General features: G+C 42.7%; 1 protein-coding gene across 1 annotated transcript in view; it reads right to left on the bottom strand.

Moving 5' to 3' along the window:
* The window catches only part of TNRC6B (trinucleotide repeat containing adaptor 6B), a 290,975-nt gene that overhangs the window by 189,284 nt on the left and 81,618 nt on the right, over positions 1-20,073 (bottom strand). The window lies entirely within an intron of this gene.

Below are 20,073 nucleotides of genomic sequence, written 5' to 3'. Positions count from 1 at the left end.
TACTTGGGAGGCTGATGTAGGACAATGCTTGAATTCAGGAGGCAGAGGTTGCAGTGAGCCAAAATCATGCCATTGGTCTCCAGCCTGGGCAACAAGAGAGAAACTCCGTCTCAAAAAAAAAGACAGCATTTCTCACATATTATTACATGAAAGCTTCCTTCACATCATTCAGTCATCAGCTCTAGGGCCATCTCTTTGATCCAGGGTGATCTTCCCCTACCAGCCCAGCTGAAATACTTCCAGTCACTCCCCAGCATCACACATATCACTACCTGAAAGGCTTATTTGTTCATGTGTCTTATTGTCTGTCTCCCCAACCACGAATGCAAACTTCTTGAGGCAGAGACTTTGAATGTCTTATTCACCAGAAGCCTGGCACAACAAAGTTGTTTGACCAGGATGTGCCGACTTTCCCTTTCTCCTACTACTCCCTAAGCATTTATTTCCCTAGGTTCTGCCCTTGGACCTCTTTCTTCTCATTCTGCCACAGCCATTTCATCTAATCTCACAGTTTCCACTATTAAATTTGAGTGATCCCAATTCTGTTTCCATCCTAACCTATCACGTTTCCAGCCCCACAGTTTCATCAGGCTGACGTTGCCATGCAGATTATATGCCAGCATTTCAAACTCTGTGCTCCATACAGACTGCATCCTATTCACTCCCAAACCTGCTTTTTTTTTTGAGACAAAGTCTCGCTCTGTCACCAGGCTGGAGCATAGTGATGTGATCTTGGCTCACTGCAACCTCTGCCTCCTGGGTTCAAGCAATTCTCCTGCCTCAGCCTCCCAAGTAGCTGGGACTACAGGAGGGCGCCACCACACCCAGCTAATTTTTGTATTTTTAGTAGAGACGGGGTTTCACCGTGTTGGCCAGGATGGTCTCAATCTCTTGACCTTGTGATCCGCCTGCCTTAGCCTCCCAAAGTGCTGGGATTACAGGCGTGAACCACCATGCCCAGCCGATTTATCGTTTTCTCTTTCCTCAACATCGAATAAATTGCTAAATCCTACCCATTTTATAAATATCTCCAACCACACCCTCTACTGCAGGTACTGCAGTTAAAAAGAAAATGTATATATTTTTTGAAAGCTGAGAAGTCAGCTGATATAGTGGATAAAAGAATCAATATTTAACATGGTCTCAACAGACTAAGGAGATGGGTGGAAGCTCCTCAATTTTTTTTTTAAATTGAAGTATAATTCACAAGCAGAAAAATACACACACTTTAAGTGTAGGCTCAATGAATTTTATTTTTATCTCATTTCTCTCTACTTTTGAGACAGGGTCTCACTCTGTCACCCAGGCTGCAGTGCAACGGCACAATTATGACTCACTGAAGCCTTGACATCCCGAATTCAAGTGATTCTCCCACCTTAGCCTCCCGAATAGCTGGGACCACAGGCCTGTGCCAGCACACCCAGCTAATTAAAAAAATTTTTTTTTTTTTTTTTTTTGTGGAGCTAGATAGGGTCTCTCTGCCCAGGCTGGTCTGAAATTCCTGGGCTGAAGTGATCCTCCAGTCTTGGCCTCCCAAAGTGCTGGGATTACAGGCATGAGCTACTGAGCCTAGCCTTAATGATTAATTTTAGATATGGTTGTACCTTCAAGCAACATATAGATTGAGACAGAAAATTTCCATCTCCCCAGAAAACTTCTACATGCCCCTTCCCTTGAAGATCGCCCTATTAACTATAAATGGGATTGACATGTTCGAAAGCTTAATATCACTGGGATCTGACAGTATGTACCACTTTTATATCTACATTTTTTCACTCGGTATAATGTTTCTGAGATTTATCCATGTTGTTACACTGATCAAGAGTTCATTTTTTTTTTTTTTTTTTTCCGAGACGGAGTCTTGCTCTGTCGCCCAGGCTGGAGTACAGTGGCACAATCTCGGCTCACTGCAAGTTCTGCCTCCTCGGTTCACGCCATTCTCCTGCCTCAGCCTACCAAGTAGCTGGGACTACAGGTGCCCGCCACCACGCCCGGCTAATTTTTGGTATTTTTAGTAGAGACAGGGTTTCACCATGTTAGCCAGGATGGTCTCGATCTCCTGACCTCGTGATCCGCCCGCCTCGGCCTCCCAAAGTGCTGGGATTACAGGCGGGAGCCACTGCGCCCAGCCAAGAGTTCAATTTTTAAACTTAGTAGTGTTCCACTGCACAGACAAACTATAATTTGTTTATTCATTAGATAGACAGCTAGCTATTTCCAGTTTGGAGCTGCTATAAATAAAACTGCCATGAGCATTTTCATATAATGTGTTTTTGCAAATCTATGCAGTCATTTCTATGGAGTATACACCTAAGAGAATGTCTGCCTTATAGGGTGGAAGTTCGTTTAACATTATTTAGAAGCTTATGAAACAGTTCTTTAAGTGGCTGTACCATTTTACACTCCTTCCAACAATGTCTAAAAGTTCCAGTTGCTCCACATTCTTGCCAACACCTGGTATTATTAGTCTTTTGAACTGTAGTCATTTTGGTGAGTGTATAATGGCATTACATTACAGTTTTAATTTGTATTTTGCTCATGAATAATGTTGAACATCTGTGTTTTCATAACCATTTGGATGCCTTATTTTGTGAAATGCCTAGTCTTTTGTACATTTTTGAGTTGTTTGACCTTTTCTAACTGATTTTTGGTAATTCTTTACATACTCTGGACATGAGACTTTTATTAGAAAGATGTATTGCAGACTTTTATTAGAAAGATGTATTCCAGGCCGGGCACAGTGGCTCACGCCTGTAATCCCAACACTTTGGGTGGCCAAGGCGGGCGGATCACGAGGTCAGGAGATCGAGACCATCCTGGCTAACACGGTGAAACCCTGTCTCTACTAAAAATACAAAAAATTAGCGGGGCGTGGTGGTGGGCGCCTGTAGTCCCAGCTACTCAGAGGCTGAGGCAGTGAGGCAGGAGAATGAAGTGAACCCGGGAGGTGGAGCTCGCAGTGAGCCGAGATTGGGCCACTGCACTTCAGCCTGGGTGACAGAGCGAGACTCTATCCCCCCCACAAAAAAAGATGTATTGCAAATGTTTTTTCCCAATCTATAGTTTTCCATATTCTTATTTGATTTTTTTTAGAGTCAAGGTCTTGTTCTGTCACCCAGGCTGGAGTGCAGTGGCGTGATCATAGCTCATTGCAGCCTCAACCTCCAGGGCTTAAGTGATCCTTCCACCTTAGCCTCCTGGGCAGCTAGGACTACAGGAGTGCATCACCACACCCAACTAATTTTTAAAAATATTTTTGTAGAGTCGGGGTCTTGCCATGTTGCCCAGGCTGGTTTCAAACTCCTGGCCTCAAGTGATTCTCCCGCCCCGGCCTCCCAAAATGCTGGGATTATAGGCATGAGCCACTGTGCCCAGCCTTTTTCCACATTCTTAATGGTGTCAGTTGTTTAGCAGAAGTTTACAATGTTTCATGAAATTCAACTGACCAACTGTTCTCTTTTACAGTTAGTGCTTTTTGCATGTTACCAAGAAATGTTCATACCCTCCCCAAGGTTATGAATGCAGACATCTCTTGTGCGGCCATCCAAAGGCTTCAACGTTTTAGCCCCCACAGTTAGCTCTGTGATACACCTCAAATTAAGTTTTATATATAGTATGTGACATAGAGGTCATGGTTCATACATTTCCATGTGGTTATCCAGTTCCTCCAGCACCTTTTCCTCACTTAATTACATTAGTCTTTGGATAATTTTTTTCTAATCGTGAAGTCTTATACTTTAGGTTCAAAAGAATCAATTATACAACTATAGGATGGGCAAGACCAGTATAATAGCAGTGTATGGACAATGTGCTTGACTTCTGAAAAAAAGAAACACTTCTTGCTTATTTTAACTGATAACATATTTTAATATCCTTTGAAGCTTATTTTGACCATGTGATTAAACTCTAGTCAAAGAGATGTAAGCGGGATGTAAAGTCCAGCTTCCACAAAGTCTTCCTAAGGAAATGGCAAGTTCTCTCCTTTCTGCTACACGGAACACAGTAAGAATTGTTATTGTTATTTTTTATTTTAGCCATTCTAGTGGATGTGAAATGCTATTTCACTGTGGTTTTGATTTGCACTTTGCATGCTTTTTAAAGCAAAGATGCCTAAGCCCTACCCTGGGCTTCATGAAACAGAATCTCAAGAGTTAAAATCTGGTGGCTGTGCACGGTGGCTCATGCCTGTAATCCCAGTGCTGTGAGAAACCAAGGTATGAAGATCACTTGAGGCCAGGAGTTCGAGACCAGCCTGGGCAACATAGTGGAGACCCCTCTCTTAAAAAAAAAAAAAAAAAATTAGCTAGGCGTGGTGGCACTTGCCTGTAGTACTAGCTACTCAGGAGGCTGAGGTGGGCGGATCCTTTGAGCCTAGGAGTTCAAGGCTCAGTGAACTATAATCACACCACTGCACTCCAGCCTGGGTGACAGAGTTAGACTTCTGCTTCAAAAACAAAAACAAGAAGGCCAGGCGCGGTGGCTCACACCTGTAATCCCAGCACTTTGGGAGGCCGAGGTGGGTGGATCATGAGGTCAGGAGATCAAGACCATCCTGGCTAACACGGTACTAAAAATACAAAAAATTAGCCAGGCGTGGTGGTGGGTGCCTGCAGTCTCAGCTACTCGGGAGGCTGAGGCAGGAGAATGGCGTGAACCTGGGAGGCAGAGCTTGCAGTGAGCAGAGATCGCGCCACTGCACTCCAACCTGGGTGACAGAGCAAGACACTGACTCAAGAAAAAACAAAAACAAAAACAAAAACAAAAAACAAGAAAAAAACAGCTGGGACCTGGGATCTCTATTTTCTTTACAAGCACCCCAGGTGATTCCTATGCAACAGTAGGCAGACTACAGCTGAACTAAGGGGCAGTCAGTCAGAGGAGGGAGAACCAGTGAATTTTTAAAATTCTCTTTAAGAGGTAAGGCACTTACAGACTACAGAGTAGGATTACAGCTGAGGAAGGAGGAAAGGGATTGGCTTGGGAAAGGGTTACACAGAGGCCCTCAACCATTAACTATATCCTTATTTTATTTCTTTAAAAAAGAGAGAAATTTGATCCCAGCACTTTGGGAGGCCAAAGTGGGGGAATCACTTGAGGTCAGGAGTTCGAGACCAGCCTGGGGGCAGCATGGTCTCTACTAAAAATACAAAAATCAGCTGGGCATGGTGGTGCGTGCCTGTAGTCCCAACTACTTGGGAAGCTAAGGTGGGAGCATCGCCTGAACCCGGGAGGTGGAGGTTGCAGTGAGTTGAGATTGTGCCACTGCATTCCAGCCTGGGCAACAGTGAGGCCATCTCAAAAAAAAAAAAAAAAAAAAAAAGGACAGAATTTGAGTTCACCACCCATGGAAAGAAGTTAACTCCACTGTGCTCAATAAATTCGTTAATTAAAAAAAAAAGTAGAGAGAGAGAAATTTGAAGCAAATATGACAAAGCAAATATGTTAAATCTTGTTGATGGTTAAGTGGATGTATCTGTTATTTTATTCTCTGTACTTTGCTACATCTTAAAATTTTTTCCTCATGACAAAATCTTACCATGAGAAGGAAAACTACAAGAATAAAGAATATAAAAATATAATTATTGGCTGGGTGCAGTGGCTCATGCCTGTAATCCCAGCCTTTTGGGAGGCTGAGGCAGGCAGATTGCTTGAGGTCAGGAGTTTGAGACCAGCCTGGCCAATATGGTGAAACCCCATCTCTACTAAAAATACAAAAATTAGCCAGGCATGGTGGCATGCACCTGTAGTCCCAGCTTCTTGGGAGTTTGAGGCAGGAAAATTGCTTGAACCTGGGAGACAGAGGTTGCAGTGAGCAAAGACTGTATCATGACTCCAGCCTGGGCAACAGAGCAACACCCCATCTCAAAAAAAAAGGAATAAGATAGAAAAAAAATTACCATCTATTCAACAACCACTCTCTCAAATATATGAAGACTGCTCTTAATATCTTTCTTAGAAATCTGTGTAAGTGGTCAAGGACTGGTATGGTCACTTTCCAATTACCAGGGACTTGAGACTTCTATTTTGTTCTTCCATCTTCAATATGTTTCTTCCACTTTGTGTTTTAAGATGGTTGCTCCAGTCCCAACCTTCATGTCTGTGTTCCATGTAGCAGAAAGGAGAGAAGAACCTGTCACTTACTTAGGAAGACTTTGTGGAAGCTGCACTTTACATCCTGCTTACATCTCTTTGACTAGAATTTAATCACATGGTCAAAATAAGCTTCAAAGGATATTAAAATATGTTATCAGTTAAAATTTGTGGTTCTATAGCTAAGCAAGAAGTGGTTTTTTTTTTGTTTCAGAAGTCAATCACATTGTCTGGACACTGCTGGTATACTGGTTTTGCCCATCCTATAGTTGTATAATTGATTCTTTTGAACTTAAAGCATAAGACTTCACAATTGGAAACAAACTATCAGAAGACTAATGTAATTCAGTGAGGAAAAGGTGCTGGAGGAACTGGATAACCACATGGAAATGTATGAACCATGACCTCTATGTCACATACTATATACAAAACTTAATTTGAGGCGGATCACAGACCTAACTGTGGGGGCTAAAACGTTAAAGCTTTTGGATGACAATAACAAGTATTGGTGATGATGCAGACAAACTGGAACCCTCGTGCATTTCTGGTGAGAATATAAAATGGTGTAGTCACTTGAAAAACAGTTTGGCAGTTCCTCAAAAAGTTAAACCATATGACCCAGCAGTTCCACTCCTAGGTATATAACTAAGAGAAATGAAAATATATTCCACACAAAAACTTGTACACAAATGTTCAAAGCAGCATTAAAATGTTCATTTCATAATATTATTAATGTTCATAGCAGTCAAAAGGTGGGAATCATCCAAATATTCATCAACTGTTGAGTATATAAATAAAATGCAGGCCAGGCACAGTGGCTCGCGCCTGTAATCCCGGCACTTTGGGAGGCCAAGGCAGGAGGATCACCTGATGTCAGGAGTTCGAGACCAGCCTGGCCAACATGGTGAAACCCCATCTCTACTAAAAATGCAAAAATTAGCTGGGCATGGCAGCATGCGCCTGTAATCCCAGCTACTCAGGAGGGTGAGGCAGGAGAATCACTGGAACCCAGGAGGCAGATGCTGCAGTTAGCCAGGATCGCACCACTGCACTCCATCCAGCCTGGGCCATAGAGCAAGACTCCATCTCAAAAAAAAAAAAAAAAAAAATGCGTACACCCATGCAATAGGGTATTATTCAGCCATTCAAAGGACTGAGGCACTGATAATGTGCTTAACATGGATAGCCTTGAAAACATGATGCTAACTGAAAGAAGTCTCACATCACACAGAAGGAAAACATACTGTATGATTCTATTTATATGGAATGTTCAGAATAGGTGATTCTGTAGAGATGGAAAGATTAGTGGTTGCCTGTGCCTGGGAGGAAAGGGAATAGAGAGTGACTGCTAATGGATACAGTTTCTTTTTGGAGTAATGACAATGTTCTTAAATTAGATGGCAGTGATGGTGGTACAACTCTGTGAATACACTGAAAACCATTGAGCTGTATACTATAAATGGGTAAGTTTTATAGGATGTAAAGTATACCTTAATAAAGCTGCTGAAAAGGAAAAGGAAAGAACATCCAAGTTAATTCTTTTCTTTCCTTAATTTACCTTTATTTTTACTTTTTTTTAGTACTTTGAATTGCTGTTTGGGGTTTTGTTTGTTTTGGTACTTTGAGAGAGTGAATTCTTATCCATGCTCAGGTTGGACACAGTCTGAAATACTTCCTACAGTTCTATACTTGAGCCTTTTCTCATCTCCCAGCCCCATCTATTCCTATATGCTGAGAACTCCTAATACGTATCTTGATGTCCTCTCTCTCTACTGAGCTCTAAAATGCCTACTAATTTAGTTTTACCTGGGCTGCCTGCAGGTGCCTCAGTATTTCAAAATCCACACCCAGTTAAAAGTAACAGTAACAGGCCAGGCGTGGTGGCTCATGCCTGTAATCCCAGCACTTTGGGAGGCTAAGGCAGGCGGATCACCTGAGGTCAGGAATTCGAGACCAGTCTGGCCAACATAGCGAAACCCCGTCTCTACTAAAAATACAAAAACTAGCTGGGCATGGTGGTGTGTGCCTGTAATCCCAGCTACTCAAGAGGCTGAGGCAGGAGAATCTCCTGAGCCTGGGAGGCAGAGGTTGCAGTGAGCTGAGATCATACCACTACACAATAGTCTGAGCAACAGAGCGAGACTCCGTCTCAAAAAAATAACGATAACAGTAACAACAGCTACATCCAATACCTTGCTCTATCTCCTATTTCACATGGCATCATTTAACCCACTCTTTGCAGATTTGTGCTCTCCTCCCATCCTTCCTGTATGCTTCTCCTGTCAGTCCCCTCCTCTGCAGACCACTGTTACTGCCTTATTTCAAAAGCCTTCCTCAGTCTTCCTGAGGGGACTCCTAACTCTCCTAACTGGTTTCCGTGTCTCCATTTTACAGCCTGTTGGTAATCATTTCTCCACACTCCTGCCAGGTCATTCTTTTTTTTTTTTTTTTTGAGATACAGTCTAGCTTTGTTGTCCAGGCTGGAGTGTGGTGGTGTGATCTCGGCTCACTGCAACCTCTGCCTCCCAATTCAAGCGATTTTCCTGCCTCAGCCTCCCAAGTAGCTAGGATTACAGGCGCCTGCCACCATGCCCGGCTAATTTTTGTATTTTTAGTAGAGATGCGGTTTCACCATGTTGGCCAGGCTGGTCTGGAACTCCTGACCTCAAGTAATCCACCCGCCTCGGCCTCCCAAAGTGCTGGGATTATAGGTGTGGGCCACCAGGCCCGGCAGGTCCATCTTTCTAAAATATGCATCAGATCATCAGGTTTCTCCCCTGCTTAACATCCTTCAATAGTTCCCTATTGCCTGCAGGGGTTCTGCTTCTAACTCCATCTCCAGGGTCTCACAGACATCTCTCAATGCTCTAACCATCTCTTCTCCGGAGAAATGTGTGGCTCTGAATACGCACAAAGCACCCTCTCCCTTCTTAGGGATTCTTCTGTACCTATAGAAGTCTATAGTTCTATAAACTGACTTTTCCAGTAAGTTTATCTGACATAAGGAAACAGCTGATTACTCTGCCGTGTAACTTGTCCAGGATGGAGTATTGAACTACTATGGCCTCTGGAGTCAGACAGGCCTGGAGTTCAACCCAAATGATGTTGCTTACCAGCTACGTAAACAAATGGGGAAAGCACTTGCGCTGCATGTTTGCTTTTCCAATCTGCTCTCAGAATACCAAAATCCATGAAATCTTGTTATCACTTTTGCTAAAGCAGATCCAGCCTAAGGTAGAGATATCCTAAGCTCTGGAAAGCAAAAGACTTTATTAAACAATGGGTAAATCTTTTTTCTCTGCATCCCCTACCAAAACACAAACAAAACAAATTACCAAGTTCCTAAAATACTTCTGTGTAACACTTTTCTTGACTAAATGAGCACTTAATATTAAGAACAGATCTTGCAGTTCTTTGTCAATGAAACCAATTAAAACAGATCATTCAAATACTACTGTGTATTTTATGTCTAAGTTACCCTATTTAACTATCTTTAATGTTAAGCAAATCAACAGATGACTTTATTCTCTGTAGACAAAGACTACGTTTACTTGCTGCCTTTGATAATGATAATGTTATATTAATAGCTAAAATGTTAGCTTCCTGATTCAGTAAATATTTATTTGCAGTAATTAGTAGAAACACGTGGGTACTTAAATATATAGCTATAAATTTGAAACCCTAGAGCTTACTTTTATTGTTTTATTATAAATATTTAAATATACAGGCCAGGCATGGTGGCTCATGCCTGTAATCTCAACACTTTCGGAGGCTAAGGTGGGAGGATCTCTTGAGCCCAGGAGTTCAACACCAGCCTAGGCAACATAGTGAGACCATGTCTCTACAAAAAGAGTTAAAAAAAAAAAATTTAGCTCGGTGTGGTGGCATGCATCTATGGTCCCAGCTACACGGGAGGCTGAGGCAGGAGGATCCCTTGGAGCCCAAGAGGTTCAGGCTGCAATGAGCTGTGTTCAGGCTACTATACTCCAGCCTACGCGACAGAGCAACACTCTGCCTCAAAAAAAAAAGTATACACACACACACACACACACACACACACACAAGATAAACATACACAAAGGTACAGAGAATATGATCACAGACACCCAACGGCTCAGCTCTATAACAAATTTTACTATATCTGTTTTAGATTTCACTTAAAAAATGAACATTTCAAGTCTAGAGCTACAGAATCTCTACAACTAGTAAGCTAACACCAACTCATTTAGAATATCGACCTAAGTTACATTACATTTAAAGTGAGAAATGGCTACAGAGTTTAAGCATTCCAATCTATCTTTGTTAAGAACCATAAAGAAAGATTACATCAGGTCTGGAGACCGTGCCAGAAATGCCAGTCCTCGCCTCCCAATTCATTTGACCTTCTATGGGATCTACTTCCTCACCTACGGTTCTTGCTCTCCTAACTCCTGAGAACTCAGGACCCAATGGAAATCAGTCCACAGGCTGAAGTAGGCCTATTAAATCCTCTTTTCTTTTAGAGAAGCTGAATGTAAAGATACAGATATTCTAGTCTACCTACCCTCTCTACATCAACACCAGTTATCCTAACACAGCAAATCATAAAGTAAAATGTACATCTCATTTCCCTGCTTTAAAAGTCTGCTGCTTTGGTTGGCTGCAGTGGCTCACATCTGTAATCTCAGCACTTTGGGAGGCCGAGGCAGGAGGATCACTTGAGTCAGAAGTTTGAGACCAGCCTGGCCAACATAGTGAGACCCAGTCTCTACAGAAAAAGTAAGAAAAACTAGCCAGGCATGGTGGCACACCTGTAGTCTCAGCTATTCCGGAGGCTGAGGTGGGAAGATCACTTGAGCCCATTAAATTCAAGGTTTCAGCAAGCCATCATCACATCACTGCTCTACAGCTTGGGCAAAAGAGCAAGAACATGTTTCTATTAAACAAAAAAAAATTTGCTACTTCAAGGTGTCAATAAGGTTGCTAAAATAAAAATAAAATAAAATAAATTTGTTTAATCTGTGGTCTATTCTTGAAACTCTTCAGCCTAAGATAATCTGGGCTCTGCCATGCCCCCGTCTCCCTGGCACCCAACACTCTAGTCGCTGTATGGTGGATGAAAGATGATCTCATATTTAAGGTCAGTCTTCCCACTGAAAGGTGGGGTCTGTTTCTCCTCCCCTTGAGTCTGGGATGGTCCTGTGACTTGCTTTAATTCAACAGACTGGGGAAGAAGCAAAGCTGGGTGACTTCTAAGGCTGGGCTTAAGGTGTCTGCAGCTCCTGCACAGTTGGAATGCTCCCTCCTGAATCCCTGCCACCATGCTGTGAGAAACCCAAGGCATGCAGAGGTCATATGGAGGAGAACCTTGGGTCAACAGCCTCAAGTTGGTCTCCTAGCTGACAGCCAATACCAACTGCCAGCCATGTGAGTGGGCCCTTTCAGGCATTTCTGGCCAATTGGGCCTCCAGATGACTGTAACTCCAGCCAATACCACTTTGGAAGAGAAGAACTGCCCTAGTGAGCCCAGGAAAACACAGAATTATGAGAAATAAAATGCTGTCTTGGTAATGGAGTCTTAAAAATATATGAAAACTTTATTTTTTAGAACAGGTTTAGATTTACAGAAAAATTAGGAAGATAGTCCATTTATCCGGATGCAGTTTCTGCTGTTAGTAACATGTTACCTTAGTATATCTGTCACAATTCATGAACCAATATTGATACATTATTATTTATTTATTAAACTTTAAGTTCTGGGATACACGTGCAGAACATGCAGGTTTGTTACATAGGTATACATGTGCCATGGTGGTTTGCTGCACCCATCAACCCATCACCTACATTAGGTATTTCTCCTAATGCTATCCCTCCCGTAGCCCCCCAACCCGATACATTAACTAAAGTCCATAGTTTATTAAATTTGCTTAGTTTTTACCTAATGTTCCAGGATCCCATCCAGAATACCACATTACATTGTCATTGTGTCTCCTTAGCTGTCTCTTGGCTGTGACAGTTCCTCAGATTTTTCTCAGTTTTCCTTGAGTTTTCAGGAGTGCTGATCAGGTATTCTGCAGAACATTCCGCTAGTGGAATTTGTCTGATGTTTTTCTCATGATTAGACTGGGATAATGGGTTTTAGGGAAGACAACTAGAAATTGAAGTGCCATTTCCTCACATCGTACCAAGGGTACAAAGTATAAAAATGACTTATCACTGTTGATGTTGACTTGATTGCCTGACTTTAGGGTTCTCCACTGTGTGAATCCACACTTTAAGAGTGGAAAGTTATGCTCCACATCCTTGAGGATAGAGTATTTACTAAACTTTTTGCAATTATTCCACTCAGGAGGTTACAATGGTGGTTTTAAACCACTAAGTTTTGATGTGATGTAACAGACATCAAGATATCTGAAACACAATCAAATTTTTCACCATCTCCCATCGCATATTACCTGTTTTTTTTTTTTTTTTTTTTTTTTTTTGAGACGGAGCTTTGCTCTTGTTGCCCAGGCTGGAGTACAATGTCACGGTCTCGGCTCACCACAACCTCCGCCTCCTGGGTTCAAGTGCTTCTCCTGCCTCAGCCTCCCGAGAAGCTGGGATTACAGGCACATGCCACCATGCCTGGCTAATTTTTTGTATTTTCAGTAGAGACAGGGTTTCTCCATGTCGGTCAGGCTGGTCTCGAACTCCCAACCTCAGGTGATCCGCTCGCCTCGGCCTCCCAAAGTGCTGGGATTACAGGCATGAGCCACCGTGCCCGGCACATTACCCCTTATATGCTATACACAGTTCCCTCTGCATATAATAGCCTTCTCCCCCTCACCCATTCAACAACAAACCAATAAAAACCATGAAACCCGTCTTTCTACAATGCCCAGTTCAAGTGTTCCCTCTCCATTGTGGACTTCCTTCCAGAAAGAATTCATTGCTTTGCCCTAGGCACATATTTAATATCGGTATCATAGCCTGTATGGTATGGTTACCTCCCTCAACTAGGTTAAAAGTGCCCGAAATGCAGAGACCATGTCTTACATAAATCACTTTGCATGCCTGTACCTACGACATCAGCAACTAGTAGGTGCCCAATAAATGTTTGTTGCATTAAAAAAACTGAATGACTATAAAAGTATGTCATTTTTGATAATATCTCAATAAAAAGAAGAGATGATACAAATAAACAGCTTAGTTCAGCATGTGTCAGTAAATCCACAATAGAGCTGAAACCTCCCAGTAATGTACAGTTCCACTATGTGACAGCGAAACCAGACACTAAGAAAAATGAGCATTACATTTAACCAGTCAAAGCCACATGTGACAGATAAAATAGTAGTATCTGTTTTCAGATCAGTGTGATAATATAAGCACATAAATGCCAAATAAAATAGGTCACATGAATTTCTCTCTACGGGAATCAGGCCAATGAAGCATATACATATCTGTGCCTCCGGATTTTACAGAATATATATATATATATATATATTTTTTTTTTTTTTTTTTTTTTTTTTTGAGACAGAGTCTTGCTCTGTCCCCCAGGCTGGAGTGCAGTGGCGCGATCTTGGCTCACTGCAAGCTCCGCCTTCCAGGTTCACGCCATTCTCCTGCCTCAGCCTCCCAAGTAGCTGGGACTACAGGCGCCTGCCACCATGCTCGGCTAATTTTTTTGTATTTTTAGTAGAGATGGCGTTTCACTGTGTTAGCCAGGATGGTCTCGATCTCCTGACCTCGTGATCCACCCGCCTTGGCCTCCCTAAGTGCTGGGATTACAAGCTTGAGCCACTGCGCCCAGCCTTTTTTTTTTTTTTTTTGAGATGGAGTCTCACTCTGTTGCCCAGGCTGGAGTACAGGGGCATGATCTTGGCTCACTGCAACCTCTGCCTCCCATGTTCAAGCAATTCTCCTGCCTCAGCCTCCCAAGTAGCTGGGACTACAGGCCCCTCGCCCTCGCCCTCGCCCTCGCCTCGCCTTTATTGAGATGGAGTTTCACACTGTCACCCAGGCTGGAGTGCCGTGGTGTGATCTTGGCTCACTGCAACCTCTGCCTCCTGGCTCCGTCCCGTCCCGTCCCGTCTCGTCTCGTCTTTATTGAGATGGAGTTTCACACTGTCACCCAGGCTGGAGTGCAGTGGTGTGATCTTGGCTCACTGCAACCTCTGCCTCCTGGGTTCAACTGATTCTCCTGCCTCAGCCTCCCGAGTAGCTGGGATTACAGGCACAGCTGGGATTACAGGTGCACACTAACAGGCCCAGCTAATTTTTGTATTTTTAGTAGAGATGGGGTTTTGCTATGTTGGCCAGGCTAGTCTCAAACTCCTGACCTCAAGTCATCTGCCTGCCTCGGCCTCCCAAACTGCTGGGATTACAGGCGTGAGCCACTGCACCCAGTCACAGAAGGTAATTTTCATATTTAACCTCTAAAAATATGGAACAATAAGACAGATCCATGGGTAACTCTGTTAATTTGATTCAATTTTATCTCTCACATACACAGCAGAAAAATTAAATAAGCCCTGAAGTGGTCCTTGGGAAAAATGTAAGAAATATTCACTGTTCCTCCAAAGGATATGTTCAGAGGCATCTGAAGTTTTACATTAACAAAAACTCTGTCAACTTGTCTTCCTTCAGCATTTACAATAGAAGCTTTCACAACAATAGCAGAACTCTCTTTGAGAAATTTGTTAGGTCATACAAAATTGCAATCTGGTGACCATTCAGGGAAAAAAAGCTCGTTCTAAACTGATGTGAAATTTAACATTCTTTCTTCCTGCCTCCACTTTAAGTGGTTGGAGCTCCAATAATTAAAACAAAGAATAAATAATAGTTTAAGGAGTCAATTCTGTGTATCAACACCCAACACAGTTCCTAGCACACAGTAGGTGCTCAATAAATATGTGCTGAATTAATCAGGAGAGAGGAGGGGAGGAAAGGAGGCAAAAATAAGGAATTATGCTTGTGCATAATTCAGGAATGATCTATAATCTGTTTACAGCAGTCTTTTAGAAACCATCACCTGCTTTATATCTTTCTGGCAGAGAAAAAAAAAAAAATCCCTAAACTCAAGAGGTCAAAGTCTACAATTCCCAACTCCCGAAGAATATATAATCCTAATCCATCTCTGAACTTCAATAAACATCTCTCTCCAAGAAAATGTTACGGAAGATGCTGCACAGTTTCAGAGAGCACTCTTCAAGAGGAACAGCAAAATTCACTTCCTCCAATAAGACTTCTATACCGCGCTGGGCACAGTGGCTCAGCCTGTAATCCCAGCACTTTGGGAGGCTGAGGCGGGCGGATCACGAGGTCAGGAGATCGAGACCTTCCTGGCTAACACGCTGAAACCCCGTCTCTACTAAAAAATACAAAAAATTATCTGGGCAAAAAATTATCCGGGCGTGGCGGCAGGCGCCTGTCAAGTCCCAGCTACTCGGGAGGCTGAGGCAGGAGAATGGCGTGAACCCGGGAGGCGGAGCTTGCAGTGACCCGAGATCGCACCACTGCACTCCAGCCTGGGCAACAGAGCGAGACTCTGTCTCAAAAAAAAAGACTTCTATACCAACCCTGCCCATCCATAAGGGCTCCTGATCTATACTTGCACAACTTACCTGGATATTTTGTAAACCATATTGACCGTTTATTCATTTGTTAACTATTTTTTTTTTTTTTTTTTTTTTTTAGACGGAGTCTCCCTGTCGCCCAGGCTGGAGTGCAGCGGCGCAATCTTGGCTCACTGCAAGCTCCACCTCCCGGGTTCACGCCATTTTCCTGCCTCAGCCTCCCGCGGGGGACTACAGGCATCCGCCACCTCGCCCGGCTAATTTTTTTTTTTTGCATTTTTAGTAGAGACGGAGTTTCACCGTGTTAGCCAGGATAGTCTGGATCTCCTGACCTCGTGATCCGCCCGCCTCGGCCTCCCAAAGTGCTGGGATTACAGGCGTGAGCCACCGCGCCCGGCCAATTCATTTGTTAACTATTCTTAGCACCTTCGCTACAACTGCAATTCCAAGCCTTTCCTCTTAATAGGAAATCAAAACTTGTCATTTCAAGTCTTCAACTGTGTACTCTACACTCTACCAACTACAATGACTTCTCTTTCGAAGGCAATACAAAGAAAAGCTGAACCCACTTCCTTTCTTTCTTTCCTCCTCCAAAACTCCCTCCGCCATTAAACAAGAGTCAGAAGAGCAGGATTTGGGCCTGAGCTCAGGCATTACTGCAGTACGAGGCCCGTTAAGCCTGGGAATCTGAGAAACCTTTTTCTAACTGCACTCTGCCTTCCTCAACCCATTTCTTCCCTCTTTTCTCAAACATGCATAGTCCTCTTCCATTTAAAAAAAATCTTTCACTTGAACTTAATCCTCCTCCTCATTGTTCTCTCTTCCATTTATTTCCAAATGTCCTAAAATTGGGTGGTGGACTATAGTCATAACTCATTTTTAAAAATCATTTAATTTCTCTTTAACCCATAAAATTTGGTTTCTGCACCTCCTACTCCAATTAAATGGCACCCTTGAACACCAGTAAGTTCTTTTTAGAAACTATCATAGAAAATTTAAAACATGTACAAAGTAAATACAAATAAACTCCTATGTACCCATCACAACACTTCAATAGTTGCCAACATTCTGCCATTCCTGCTTCATCTATACTTCCATGTATTCTCCACTCCATTTGATTGTCAGTTTCACCACATAAAACATACCTACACTGTAACCATTTTTATTGTAATTATAAACAATTGCACCCCTATCAGACACAGAACATCTCCATCACCCCCTAGAAAGTTTTCTCATATCCTTTCTCTTTAATTAGTTCTTAAACAAATCCAGGTGTCTTTTCTCACTTGTCAACCTCCTTGATTCTTGGCAGCATCTGAAGTTACTGAGTGAGCCTTTCTCTTGAAATTCCCCTTTTGATTTCTATGATGCAAAAGGATCTCAATCCATCCTCGAGTCACATCAGTTTTGGCGCCAAAATACACCTCAAGTCTGTCTTTCCTCCACTTCCAGTAACACCCATGAATGTAGTCCTACCCGAACAGCTGCACGTGCCTTCTCACCAGGCTCCCTGCTTCCACTCTTACCTCTTTCCAATCCACTGTCCAGACAGCAGACAGAGCCACCTCTTAAAATGCAAATCCTACACATCACATCACTCCTCGAGTGAACAGCCTTCAATGGCTGCCCTAGGCATGGAGAATAGGTCCACGTTGCACACTGTGGCCTCTGAGGTCTTGCAAGGTCTCTGTCTCTCTCTCTAACCTCCTGTCACACTTGGCCCACAGGTTTCTGAGAGTTCTTAGAAGAGGCCAAGGGCTTTTGCAGCTGTTTCCTGTGTCTAGAACACTGTTGCTTCAGCTCTCCACACAGCTGGCTCCCTTGCCCATTAGCTTCAGCTGAAATGTCCCCGTCTCAGAGAGACCTTCCTTGACTAGCTACGCTCTTCCTCCCAGCTGCCCTGCATGACATGGCTTTATTTTTTTCATAGTACTTACCATCATTTATAATTATTATCTTTATTTATATTTATTCATGTCTCCCACTAAAATGAAACCGCCTTGAGAGTAGGAACCATGTATTTTTGGTTCACTGTTGTATCCCATGATAACACGTGCTTAATAATTATTTATTGAAGGCCAGGCGCAGTGGCTTACACCTATAATTCCAGCACTTTGGGAGACTGCGGCAGGAGAATCACTTGAGCCCAGAAGTTCGAGACCAGCCTGGGCAACACAGCAAGACTCTGTCTCTACCAAAAAAAAAAAGAGAGCCAGGTGTGGTGGCACACACCTGTGGTCCCAGCTACTTGGGAGGCTGAGGTGGGAGAATTGCTTGAGGCTGGGTGGTTGAGGCTGCAGTGAGCTGTGAGCTGTGAGCTGTGAGCCGTGAGCCGTGAGCCGTGAGCCGTGAGCCGTGATCATACCACCACACTCCAGACTTGGTGACAGAGAAAGATCCAGTCTCAAAAAAAATATATTGAACAAAAATAAATTCAGCTGAAAATCACTTTTTGGTAAAAAATTCTCTACTTTTCCTCAAAACCTACTACCTTTCCTAATGGCCTTCTGTTAACAGACATCCACAAACTATGTAACCACAGCAAAATGACAAATTCCAGCCATACATTAAATCATTCCAAATATAAGATTTTATTGATTGATTGATTTACACCCTCGGAGGAGGAGAATGGACTGACCCCTGCGAGATGAGATCAGCCTCCAAATATAAGATTTTAAACAAAAGCAAACATCAGGAGGAAAAACATAAGAGCCTGAGTTAAACTAAGGCTGATGAAGTTGAAGTTATAATCTAATTTATAACAGAAGCATCCACTTAGTGCAAGTATAAAAAGAATGTTCTCTTATTCTTGAGTCTAATTCATTCTGAACTGATAAACTATTCAGTAATTGAAAAATCAAGAAAGCTAGTCATTTATTTTTCCAAAAAGAAGTTGAAAACTGAGTTTATGGCACAGTAATATATTCTATACCAGTCTAATTACATGTTCACCAAGCAATCTCCCAATTATACCTTCTCTTTCCAGGGAGAAAATGTACTAGCCAGAAATCCAATCTTCCTTTTTTTTGAGGCAGGGTCTGGCTTTGCTGCCCAGGCTGGAGTGCAGTGGCATGATCACAGCTCACTGCAGCGTCAACAGCCCTGGGTACAAATGATCCTCCTACCTCAGCCTCCTGAGTAGCTGGGACTGCAGGCATGCACCACCATGCCCAACTAATTTTTGTATTTTTTGGAGACAGGGTTTTGTCATGTTGCCTAGGCTGGTCTCGAAGTCTTGAGCTCAAGCAATCTGCCCACCTCGGACTCCCAAAGTGCTGGGATTGCAGGCATGAGCCCCAATCTTCCTTAACATTATATTTCACTATCAATTAGTAAATTAGGATCTTGAGGAAGGGTGTATATGTACCTCAGAAATTCTGGGGTGTGTGTATCTTGGGTGTCCTGGGTATGTGTGCCTCTGTGTGTGTGTGTGTGAGGGAGATTCCTAGATCGTGTGTGTACCTCACAGGCTCTGACTAACCCTACATCAGATTCAGGGTCTAAATGAGTCTGATGAAAACCTATATGCTTCTGCTTTAGCTACGGAAAGAAGAAAGAAATCTGGTGATATGGGAAAGGAAAACTAAGAGGACAGGATGACATCTGTCCCTCCACCCAAGCCACGGACTAGATCATAGCCCCGCAGAGGGGGCATTCAGAAAGAAATGGAAAGAGTTGTTTTCAGAGCTCCCAGGAAGAGCTACAGACAATTCTGAATGGACAGAGAGGGAAGTAAAAGTAATACTAAGGGTCTCATGTAACTATGTTAAGAAGCAGCCAAGGAAAATCAGCACATGGAGCCAGATATAGACAAAAATATAGATAAATATTTATATATAGGATTTATATATAGGATTAATATATATTTATTTTTATTTTATTTATTATATATATTTACATACAAGATTTGATGATGATAACACTCCTTAGGCTCTAGATTGAAAAAACAAAGCAAACAAATTACCATTTAAAAATTTATAATATGTAGCCATAAAAAAGAATTAAATCATCCAGGCATGGTGGCTCATGCCTGTAATCCCAGTACTTTGGAAGACCTAGGTGGGTGGAGTGCTTGAGATCAGAAGTGTGAGACCAGCCTGGACAACAAAGTGAGACCCCGTCTCTACAAAAAATACAAAAATTAGCCAGGTTTGGTGGTGTGCACCTGTAGTCCCAGCTACTCAGGAGGCTGAGGTGGGAGGATGGTTTGAGCCTGGGTGGCAGAGGCTGCAATGAGTCAAGATCGTATGACTGCACTCCAGCCTGGGCAATAGAGCCAGGCCCAGTCTAAAAAAAAAAAAAAAAAAAAAAAAAAAAATTAAATAACGTCCTTTGTAGCAACAGGGATACAGCTGAAGGCCATTATCCTAAATGAATTAACACAGAAACAGAAAACCAAATGCTGCATGTTCTCACTTATAAGTGGGAGCTAAACACTGGGTACATG

The sequence above is a fragment of the Homo sapiens genome, chromosome 22 (assembly GCF_000001405.40).
Source record: "Homo sapiens chromosome 22, GRCh38.p14 Primary Assembly".
Taxonomy (NCBI): Eukaryota; Metazoa; Chordata; class Mammalia; order Primates; family Hominidae; genus Homo; species Homo sapiens.
Note: the sequence above shows the minus strand (reverse complement) of the source record. Positions and strands in the feature narration are given on the sequence as shown.